This window comes from Homo sapiens, chromosome 8 (assembly GCF_000001405.40).
Source record: "Homo sapiens chromosome 8, GRCh38.p14 Primary Assembly".
NCBI lineage: Eukaryota > Metazoa > Chordata > Mammalia > Primates > Hominidae > Homo > Homo sapiens.
In genome coordinates, this window is record NC_000008.11 from 32,311,727 (window position 1) to 32,324,084 (window position 12,358).

The window sequence follows — 12,358 nt, forward strand, 5'->3', positions numbered from 1 at the left end:
ATCCCCAGAACCTAGCACAATGCCTGCCTCTGTTTCAGTAGGGCCCAGAGCCGTGCTGCTTTTCCACACAGGAAAATTGCCTTTTCCAAGGTGCATGGCTGCCCAGTAGAGAGGAAAGCTCAAAGTCATATCAATTCAACACGCAGTACTAAGTCTCTCCTCTTGCTCCATTTTCTACTGGCCTGTGACCAACTACTTCCTAAAGTTGAAATTGCTTCCGATTTCTTTTTTCTCTATTTCATGGATAATCCATGCAGTGTTTGCTCAACCTGTTTACACTGAGATGTGTTGAGGAACTGTCCCACGGCAAGACCACAAGGTGGGGCAGTAATGAGTAATTGGAAGAAAACTGCGGTACCTTCTAAAGCTCAAATGTGGCTTTCTAGAACACGATGAAGTGGAGCCCTACATTCATTATTTGACCTTGTTTGTTTTTTTTTTTTTTTTTTTTTTTGAGACAGAGGAGTCTCACTGTCTCCCAGACTGGAGTGCAATGGCATGATCTCGGCTCACTGCATCCTCCGCCTCCTGGGCTCAAGCGATTCTCCAGCCTCAGCCTCCTGAGTAGCTGGGACTACAGGCGCAAGCCACCATGCCCAGCTAATTTTTTTTTTTTTTTTTTTTTTTTAGTAGAGACGGGATTTCACTATGTTGGCCAGGATGGTCTGAAACTCCGGACCTCAAGTGCTCCACCTGCCTCGGCCTCCCAAAGTGCTGGGATTACAGGCATGAGCCACCATGCCTAGCCCTGTGACTTTTTCTCAAGGGCTTCAAACAGTCCCTCTGCAAGTTAACCTAGGCATACTCACAGAGCAAGAAGGCATTCATGATACCACAAGGGAGGTGAGGTTTGTGCCATTTGCTCCATGTCACTGAGGCAGGACAGCCCTGTGTGGCTCCATTCCCACGAGAGACCGTCTTGCTCCGTTAGGACTGCCTCCCACCTGCTAAGGGTGCTTTTCTTCCATGGTACAGTGATCTTTAATCATTTGTTTCAAAAATGTACCAACCTCCCGGGAATGAAACTAACCAAACTTCCCTCCCTCCCTCTCTCCTTCCCTTCCTTCCTTCCTTCCTTCCTTCCATCCTTCCTGTTTGCCTTCCTTCCTTCCTTTTGGATTATGTTGTTTCATTAAAATATATTTAGCTGGGCATAGTGGCTCACACCTGTAATCCCAGCACTCTGGGAGGCAGAGGTGGGCAGTTCACTTAAGGTCAGGAGTTTAAGACCAGCCTGGCCACCATGGTGAAACCCTGTCTCTACTAAAAATACAAAATTAGCCGCGTGTGGTGGTGGACGCCTGTAATCCCAGCTACTCGGGAGGCTGAGGCAGGAGAATTGCTTGAACCCAAAAAAAGCAGAGGTTTCAGTGAGCTGAGATCGTACCACTGCACTCCAGCCTGGGCAACAGAGTGAGATTCCGTCATATATATATTCACATGATTTAGGAAATTCTGTATTTCAGCATCACAGTATAAAGACTTAAGTTCTAAGAGTTGATATTGCTGTAGATGTTGGGAATGGAATCTTAGGAGTAACCTTTACCGGAGGCAACTTCTACTGCCCTTGCTACCTTTGGTGTGACCTGAAACCCCCTTTCTTCATTAGTACCAAGTGACTTGTTTGCCACTACTCAGCTGTCCCAGAATAGCTTGACTCCACACATCCATGCATTTCTAGGAAGAAATTAGGTGCATTATAAATAACGAGTCCTCTGAAAATGCCGAAGTGTCTTAATCTTTTGAAAAAAATTATCTCAAATTTACATTCACAAGGAGCCATGTCTTTTGCCACTAACTGAAACTCAGTAACAACACTGAAGTATGAGCTTGGGCCTTGTCTGACAATAAAAAGGAAATGCTAGGTCCCAGGGACCACTTCAAGATGTGCTTGTTCCTTTAAAGCAGGGAGTTGTCACATCCAATTTTTAACACATATGTATATTTTAACACATATGCATATTTTAACACACATATATATTTCTGATTATACTGTAAAACTGGTAAATTATTTTTAAAACATCATAAGGCCCCCAAATCCCAGAGAAAGTTGTTTCTATTACAATTTTAGTCTATTTGTCTCTTTTAAGTTTCTCTTCCCTCTGAGCATATGTATCTCTAATGCATGTCTGCTTATGTAGGCATATTTATACATACACCCTTTCTTTTACAAAACTGATATCAATTTTTGTATTTTAAATAAAATACAAATGTTTTACATTCTTTCTAAACAAGCAGACACTACTTTTGGCACCTCCCAATGCTGGCCAGGTCATGTTAACTACCCTTAATCAGCTTTTTTTCTTGCAATATTTGTAATATGCATCATCTCAGGGCAAGAGACAAATTAGATCATTTGAAGATTAATAAATCCTTACCTCTGTTTGGTTGCACTTAGCCAGCAAATTCATCACATGCTTAGTCTTTGCTTTATTCTGGGCCATGTAGACTAGCTGTTAAGTGGAAAAAAAAAAAATTCTTCTTCGGGGCAGAGTGGCAGGATGGCTCTTTGGAAAGAGTCTTGGAGCAGGAGTCAAATGGTCTGGCTTTACACCCCAGCTATGCTTACAAAAGCTGGGTAACTTGCAGTTCCCTTACCACTAAAGTGGAAACATGGATGTCTAAAGCTTTTTTACAGCTAGAAAAGTCTATGCTTGGTTAGCATTGTGCTGATGCAATTCTGTTCCAGATAACCGAGGGAGGGAATGGCGGTCCTCGCGTGAAGACTAAGTAGACGTGCTATTACCCTCCTCGGTTGGCTCCAGCAATAAGCCTAATGACCTCTACAAAGCTGTTCTGTAATACAGAAGTAAACACTTACTCTGCACAATTTCTCCTTGCATGTGCTTCCCACTGGTAGAACATTATTCATCTTGTTGGTCTTTCCAAAGAGATTCATTACTTCCTTGCTCCTTCTTATTCATCCTTCATAATAGAAATGCTAAAAGTCTGAAAGACGAGGAAGGGAGCACATTTCCTCCCTGCAGTCTGAGGAATGGCTGTATCTCTTCATGAGCACCAAGAGGAAGCCCCCAGATGGGTCCCTGTCCTTACAGCCTTGTTTCCATGTGCATTTCCACCCCAGCCTCTTCCATAATCGCTCCCCATCTCTATGCCCCAGCGATGCCAGTTGTTCCATCAAACACTGTCCTCTCTGTTCTCAGCCTCGGAGCTTCTGCTCCCTCTGTTAGGGGTGACTGATTCTCACCACCACCAGGCTAATTCTGACTGTTCTGGTTTCACCGCGGATGTCACCTCCTCCAAGAAGCTCTTCTCGACTTTCTGCCTGCAGACCCTCATCTAAGCTTTCACAACACCCTGTGTTCTGTGTTTACACCCACCCAACTTTTTCTTTTTTAAATTTTATTTTAAGTTCTGGGATACATGTGCAGGACGTGCAGGTTTGTTACATAGGTAAACGTGTGCCATGGTGTTTTGCTGCCCCTATCAACCCTTCACCTAGATATTAAGCCCCACACGCATTAGCTGTTTGTCATAGTGCTCTCCCTCTGCCCACCCCCCTGACAGGTCCTGGTGTGTGTTGTTCCCCTCCCTGTGTCCATGTGTTCTCATTGTTCAGCTCCCACTTATGAGTGAGAACATGCTGAGTTTGGTTTTCTGTTCCTTATGTTAGTTTGCTGAGGATGGTGGCTTCCAGCTTCATCCATGCAAAGCACTGGATATCATTCCTTTTTATGGCTACATAGTATTCTATGGTATATATGTACCACATTGTCTATCCAGTCTATCATTAATGGGCATTTGGGTTGGTTCCATGTCTTTGCTATTGTGAATAGTGCTGCAATAAACATATGCACACTCACCGAACTTTGCTTCACTGTCTATCAGAAAACTGCCAGTTTTTCAGTTGCATTTATCTCCTAGAATATAAAGGCTTTGAATAGATCCAATGGTCTTGTTTACCATTGAATCTGATACCTAACATGGAATCTGACACCTGCTAGACACCCTCAGAATGTCTGTGAAATGATGTAACTCTACGTGATGTGTGTCTACTCATAGCTGTAAAATGAGTGAGCCCTCCTGTAGGTCACAGTGTCCAGCAGACTGGCAGGGACCTGATATGAACATCACAGAGGAAAAAAACACATACGAAACAATTAATGCTTGCCATTGGGCCAAATGCTTTGTATGTGTTATTTCATTTATATTTTTATTTAATACTAAGCAGACTTCATGTACCCTGTATTTTGCTAGGCAGTGGAGTACATAGAAAGGAACAGAAACTGCGTATCTTGTCTTCCCAACTGAAAGGAGACGATTAACCTACTTGAAGATGTTAGAATACAAATACATGATATCTGAGGACAGGGTGAAGAAAAACAAACAAATAAGAACATGAAAAACTGTGTTTGTCTTGACTATTCAGGATATGAAAGTGCCGCAACATTCATGTATCTAGAAACTCCATGAAGGAATCTACACTTAGGGCTTAAAGAATCCTAAGGGACCGGGCGCGGTGGCTCACGCCTGTAATCCCAACACATTGGGAGGCCGAGGTGGGCAGATCAGGAAGTCCAGAGATCAAGACCATTCTGGCCAACATGGTGAAACCCCATCTCTACTAAAAATACAAAAATTAGCTGGGCTTGGTGGCGCATGCCTGTAGTCCCAGCTACTCGGGAGGCTGAGGCAGGAGAATCGCTTGAACCTGGGAGGCGGAGGGTGCAGTGAGCCAAGATCGTGCCACTGCACTCCAGACTGGTGACAGAGGGAGACTCCATCAAAAAAAAAAAAAAAAAAAGAATCCTAAGGATTCCTGGTTCCTGACAGGTGCTTGTTCCTTGAAGTATACTTGTGCCGGGAAGCAAATCTTCTCTCTCTCGTTTTGAACTTGGAGGAGACAGCAGCTCCCTTCTCCTTTTCATACAGGTTATTGTTTATAAGAGCAATGTGATGAAAGCTTCCTCTGCTAAGACTGCAACTCCAGCGTTACCTTTTCTTTACCTCACCTTGATCCTCGGTGTGAAACTTCACTCATTACTGATGCATTGCAATTAACAGATCTCCTCTTTCAAGACACATTAGGGTATGTTCTGACTATCAGCTCCAAAAAAATAAAATAAAATAAAATAAAATAAAACACATTAGGAAATTTAAATGAATTAGTGTAATCAGCTGAGATAGTACTTGAAAGGGACCGTGTAGGCTTGTGGTGGAATAGGTACTTTCAGACAGAAGTCTCTAGAATATTCCTGAGGAAGTATTTTCTCCTGCCCTTCAATGAATAGAGTGGTAAGGTTTGTGAAAAGCAGGCCTCTGGCCTGAGTTAGGGAAATTATATATTGTTTGTCCAAAGTAGTAAACTCTGTCTAAAATGAAACTCTAGACTAGATATTATTTTTTGATGTTAGATGTATACGTTCTCTCCATGATTTAGCAGACTTTCCAGGGAATGATGAGTCTCCCCTCTACTGAATACTATAAACATGTTATCTCAGTGGGAAAAATAGAAAGAGATCCAGAGAAGAAGAGGGAACATCTTGCTTTTGAAGCATCTCTGCTTACGAGTCCATAGGAAATAAATTACATTTCCCAGGGTTCTGATTTGGTTTTTAATAACTTACTGGCCCTGCTAAACAAGACACTCAGGAGAAAGTGCATGTGAATAGATGGAGATCTACATTTTTAGAAAATATGTTTCTTTCTTTTGGGATCACAATCAGAACATAGGCATCATTGAAACAAAGCCGAGGAAGAAGAATTTTCTCATGCTATGCAGAAGTTTTCTGTTAAAGATATCAGAGGCTTTGCACCCTGAGAGCTGTAATCTTCTCTCCTTGAGTTCTTCATTGAGATTTACTGCAGAGGCCTCAGATGTGTTTATTTCTATTATCCAGTTGCTCCTAATATTACTTGCAATTGTTTTGGCATGAGGGTTAGAAATTGCAAGAACTCCTAGCTCGAAATCACAGAACGTACACAAAGACAAAACAGAAATAAAGCAGAACAAATGCAAGGATAAAATAGATAAAAATATCTCCCCACCCTAATTGTGCTCTTTTAAAGGAATGCTATTGAAATGACAAATGAAGGAGATTTCTACCTGTTGTTATATAGCTGGGCAGAGTGACATTTTTGGCTGTATTCTAGTGTTGAGCAGTTGCAAAGCTTTCTTTCCCCCTGAAGCAGTAGAGGGTGCTATGTGGATATAATTGAAGAGATGCTAAGTTTCTATATGACGCCAGGGCTTAGGGACTGCCCTCTCTTTTCAAGCCACTTGCTTTTCCCAAAATAACTAAGAAAAGGGAGAAAAAAAATGAGTACAGAGGCCATGCTAGAAGACATAGATAAAATATTAAGTCTTAAGAAAGGTAGGAAATAATCAGATTCTAAAGTTCTCACAAGGTTTGGTATTTTGAAGTATTTGGCAGAAGGCAAGGGTATGGAAAACTTTAAGAAATTGTAAGCTTAGGACTTTATCGTAAGCTTAAGACAGAGATGTTATCTGTCTGAAAACAGAGGGAAAATTTTGAACAGAGTGATTCTTGTAATAAGAGAAGACTTTTGACAAGTTATGAATTCCTTGAATTTCATTATTTTTTCTTGCTGTTTAAGTAGTATATATTGTATATTTGATGACAGTCAGATTTTACTGATAGAGATTTGAAATATATTTTGATAGGGCTACCTCATGCTTTTTGTAGAATCAAACATTTTAGAGCTGTTCAGCCCCTTGGAGCCATTAAGTACAATCTTAATGTTTTTGCATAAGGAGACATTGGCACCAAGAAGTTAAGTGACTTAACCTGTAACAGGCTGGTCCAAACATCCGAGCCTCAACTAGAACCAGTGTCCTTACCCCTGGTCCAAAGCTCTCTGTCTTTTGCTACCCTGCTTTGAGTTACAGCATTTTATATGCTGACAATACATAATCCTAATACATTTATATATTGTTTTCACTTACAAAGCAGTTTATGTACATTTTTCCACACTTATGTACCAAAACGTCCTTTGAAAATATGTTATTTGTTGATTTACTCAAAGAAGACTTGCCCAGTTTTATGACAGGCTGAGAAGTTAAGTCTCCTGTTGCAATTCCGTTTGCAATTCAGTATCCATTACACCTGGTCAATCAAGTTTCTTATTAATCCCACGTTTTCCCTGCCTGTAAACTCCCTTCTTAGTGACCGATTTTGCTATTTTGTGTGAGCACTTGAGTAAAATTCAACTGACTCAGAGTAGGGAATCCTGGCTGGATTAATGGGATTGTGTAACACCTTCATCACTTGAGGCCCAGATAGGAGTGACTGTGCGATGTAAAAAAGGCTTGCCAACACCACTGATGTTTGACGTGAAGGTGAAAAGTTCAGTGGCCCAGAGAAGTGCTTTAAGGGTTCTTCTTAAATCTAACACCTGAGGAACACCTTCAGATTATCCAGCAGTTGTGATCCCCTATGCAGTGTCTATTTGTCTAGACTTCTTCCCCAACACACATTCCCTAGTACATTTAAATGGAAAGAAAGGTCTGGGAGGTTATTTGCAGGGGTGTTGATGGAAACAGGACCCATCACAGCTAGGGTCATGTTATCAGAGTGCAGATTTTGAATTCCTTTCTGCCTTTCCTGCATGACTTTAAGTAAGAAAATGGTCACCTTAAATTTGCCCAATAAGACTCAGCTTGGAAATCATTCTTGGGATGCAGAAGGATCTGGTCCAGAAAGCTTCAGAGAAGCCTTGAGAACTGCCTATTCAAGAGGAGAAGAAGGCTGAGAGAGGGAACCTGCAAAGATCTAGCAGGAAAAGAGTCTTCTATGTGCAAACAACACTAGACCCTTTCCCAGAATTGGGGCACTAACAAAAGATAATGCCTCTGAAATATTGGGAAAATTGTTGGAGAATATGATCTCGTTCCCTATGCTGTCACTCCAGGTAACACCCATGATGCTCAAAGGATTTTTTTAAATTAAAAGGAGTACCACTTTATTTAACAGGTAGAAAATTATGGAAATTATTATACCAAGAAAGGACATAGGCTAATAACATAAATTAGGCTTAAGGAGAGTTTCATAAATTATGTATCTCCAATGGATTAATGAAGGAAATTAGGAATAATTTTTATATTATCTCTACTTTTTTACTTATATATTTGGACTTGAGGTTTTCTGCATATAATATGCACACTAATATAAATATTAATATAATGCTAATACAAAGGAATACTCTCTCAGAGATTGTGCATTAATGTATGTTTCAGTGACAAAATATAGTGCGTGACCTTAGCCCCAGGAGGAAGAATAGGATATGTGAAAGAACCTAAGATTTTGAACCCAGGATAACCTGGTTTTAAGCCCAGGTCTGCTACTTAAGAGCTGTACGACTGTGAGCAAGTTATTTTAAATTGCTGGATCTTGTTTTCCTCATTTACAAAATAGAAACACTGATATCTGCATCATACATCATACTATTGTTATGATTTTTAAATTAAAAATATATGCCAATGAACCTAGCAATTGGTGACCATATTGTAGGTACTTCATGGATATCTGCCTCTTCCTTCCATGTGCAAAAGGAATTCTGGCATCATCTTTTATAATTACTAGGAATTTTTTACTGCCTTCAGAAAATATTTCTAGACTTATCCTGCTAATTTTTGTTTAGAAGTTAGCCTCTGTTTCAGTCCATTCTCTCATTGCTATAAAGAACTACCTGAGACTGGGTAATTTATAGAGAAAAGAGGTTTAATTGGCTCGTGGTTCTACAAGTTGTACTAGAAGCATGGCTGGAAAGGCCTCAGGAAGCTTACAATCATGGCAGAAGGTGAAGAGGAAGAAGAGAAGTCTCAAATGACTGAAGCAAGAGGAAGAGAGCAATAGGGGAGGTGCTACACACTTTTAAACAACCAGATCTCAGGAGAACTCACTCACTATCACAAGAAAAGCAAGGGGAAATCTGCCCCCATGGTTCAATCACCTCCCACAGGGCCCCTCCTCCAACACTGGGGATTACAATTCGACCTGAGATTTGGGTGGGGACACAAATCCAAACCATACAGTCCCTGAATATATATGTGCAGAAATAGACTGCTCACCTAGACTTCAAAAGACATGTCATCATTACGCACCTCTGAGACATTGTATGGTCTTGGTTTTAAATTTCTTGAGTAATCTGGTTAATTCTGATACTAGCGATCAACAGCTTTGGTGTAAAGGTAGGTCAGATTGGTGATATATTGCTACAGCAATTTGAGGAAATCAATTTCCTCCCTAAAAGTTTTGACAATCTTGTTTATTTATATATTTTATGGTGGTGAGGGGAGAAATTATTCTTGAGATCTTGCTTCTTTGAAATATGGTTCTTCTCAGGAATATCCTATGTTATTAGATGATCTAAAACACTGTGGCACTTCTTAAATAACCAATACTTAAGATACCATGAAAATTACAACCCCCGTGAGATATAGTATCAATTAAACTATGCCATATACCTCGATTGGTTGAGTTCCATCCACTAGTCAATTTCAAAATTACCTCGTAAATCACTAAGACAATAGGAAAGAAAGCCTTACTATAACTTGCCTTACTATAACTTGTCTTACTCCCAAATTTAGCAATATCTTTTTAGCTTATTGATGGTATTTCAGGAAAATCAAATGTAGTTCCACATTATAAGGATGGAGACATGTGTTACCTCTTTATGTTCCTGTATGGCAAATTAGTTGATACTCTTTGGTCTTGTCGACATCTCTTTAACCTTGTAAGATTATAAAGGTTAGAATCATGTTTACCACCTGTAAAAAAAAAAAAAATCTGACAGCAGTGGGTTTTTTTTTTTTCTTCTTCTTCTTTTTCTCCACCACATCCCCTGATAATGATTTCCATGGGCTGGAAATACTGGGAGGAGAGAAATATTTAGTTGAATTCATTTTAAATGAAACCAATAGCTTCACTAGTGATCTCATAACCTCAAAGCACTTTACAAACTGAGTAATCATTGAAGATGCTAAATATAGTAAATACAATGTTTAAAACCTTCACAAATAAATCCATATTAAAGTCTTATTCTACCACAAAGTAGCTTTGCTTTTGATATACCTTTTAAAGTCATGGATTTCTTGATGGAGATATTGAGTTGGGTTGTTCCTGTTGCTTTTTGTTTCTTTGATTTTTTTTTTTCTATTATATAAGCTAGACCTCACTCTCTTAGTCATTTCATTATATGTAGAGACAAGATGCTGCCTTAACTAGAGCTTTATTCCAGGTGCCCAAAGGTCTTCATTTAGTTCCTAGCTCAATTCGTGAGTAAATATTTCTTTTCCAGCTTTAAAATTTTTTAAATGACATTGTCAGGCACGGTGGTGCATACCTGTATCCCCAGCTACTTGGGAACCTGAGATGGGAAGATCACTTGAGCCTGGCGGTTCCAGTCTGTAGTGCACAGTGATCATGCCTGTGAATGGCCACTGTACTCCAGCCTGGACAACATAGCAAGACCCCATCTCTAAAAAAAAAGAAAAAAAAAGAATGATAGCATTTCCTTTACTTGTGGAGATTTTCTGACTATAACATGCACACTATTATTATAAAATAATAGACTTTACAAAATATAATGGTTGTAGTTTCATTTGCACTAAATAACGATAAACCTTATTTAAGTGCAACCTTATTTTATATATATATATATATATATACCCATTAATTTGATTGTTTTTAATGTAGCCATGGACATGGAGAGTTCACAAATTATAATTTATAAATGTATTAAGATAGAATAATTGCAGAATAGAAGGATTTTTAAACAATTTAAATAGTCACCATTTCTGCCACCCATTAATCCTATATATTGGTTCTAGGACTTATTCCTGGAGTTATATCCTGCACATTGGCTTCAGGCATGAAGGACTTGATCCCACATCTTCTCCAGTGGGATTGTGGAGATCGTGTCACTGCTGGCCTGTCCTGCAGGCTCTTGTGGTGATCATTATAAAAGCCAGCCCTGGGGTAGCTCAGGACAGGAAAGGAAGGATATTCTGAAATGATTTTCTCCTTTTAGTTAACACATTTTGGTTCCAGAACACTGAGCAAATCATCAACTGAAGCCCCATGATATATTTTCAAAGAGTGAATTTCTCTTACCTGACTGAGGCATTTTATTCTATAATAGCAATTCTCTGGGTTTTTTTTTTTTCATACTTATAACAAAGCGGATTAATATATACTCACCTAAGACACCAAAGATACTGATGGCTTTCACCACTCTATCTAAGCAGGAGTAAACACCTGGGAACTAGAAATCTGAGAAAGAGGACAACACCCAACACCACCTAACTATGGCCCTCGATACAGTCATTTAACTTAATAACCTTCCGTGAGAGTAAGGTCATTATGAAATATGCTCGGTTTTACACAAAGCTTTAAAAAAAGCCACATAAAATAGTATATGAGGTCACCTCTGATTCCTATGTAAAGAAGATTCCTCCTCCCTTCCCTCATTCATTGTTCTCCACACTCTACTCCACACCTCCCCTCACCCTGCAATCCAACTTATCAAAAGTTTAATTTTCCCTTTCCAAAAGCAATGTACTTGAAATTCCTATTCTTAGTTATGTGCATTTTGGTTTCCTCTTTGATTTTCCTTTTTTTCCAGGTTTCCTGTTGATACCAACATGAATCTCAAGGGCTTCCCTTTGCTTCTTTTGGAAAAAAATAAAGAAAAGAGACTGATTTAGAGCCTATAGGGTGGAAAATCACAGCCAGGAAAAGGCAGGCATAGCATGCAGCAGTTCAGAGACAGGGCTCACCCGCCCATCTCTTCCATCAGCCACCTCCCTGGTAGGGCATCCCTTGGAACAGAAGCCAGCAATGGTCCTGCAGGGATTGGAGAATTGTGAGCTCTAAATGATAAAACGTTGAGTCATAGGTTATCACTGTACAGAGTGATCCTTTGGCCTCTGCCTTGAGGGCACGTAAGCCATTTTTTCCTTACTTGTTGGAATTTGATTCATTTCCTCTTTTTCTCCTTTAGCTCTCTAATCTAGAATTCTCAGTTTATCTATAAAAGGATTCAATATCTGGGTTGATCCTGAGGAGTCAAAGGGTTGGTTTTGTGAGCAGATGGGTGGCAGACAATAGCTTTTGTAGAGATGCCTCTGAATGAGCCCACATGGTGGGGCTTTGAGAAGCCTAGTGTGGAATCAGTAACAAAGTCCACCTTGGAATAATAGTACCATAGTTTCAGTAACTGCTGATTCCAAAAATGTTTCCTATCACACATCTTCCTCATCTGCCTCTCACAACAATCGTGTCAGGAGAAAGCTAATCCAACTATAAAGTGGCTACGTGATCAGAAATGACAGGATGGGTTCATTGCAATGTCAAGCCTCAGTAGTTTTTCATCA

The 12,358-nt window shown here is 39.8% G+C and overlaps 1 protein-coding gene across 10 annotated transcripts in view, besides 1 other annotated feature; it reads left to right on the forward strand.

Moving 5' to 3' along the window:
* The window catches only part of NRG1 (neuregulin 1), a 1,134,802-nt gene that overhangs the window by 672,482 nt on the left and 449,962 nt on the right, over positions 1-12,358 (forward strand). The window lies entirely within an intron of this gene.
* Positions 11,687-11,981: a silencer, noted in NCBI's record as "tiled region #6165; HepG2 Repressive non-DNase unmatched - State 10:DNaseD, and K562 Repressive non-DNase unmatched - State 24:Quies". NCBI's record gives its function as "represses a minimal TATA promoter and a strong SV40 promoter by Sharpr-MPRA in HepG2 and K562 cells {active_cell/tissue: HepG2 | K562}" and the evidence as "EXISTENCE:reporter gene assay evidence [ECO:0000049][PMID:27701403]".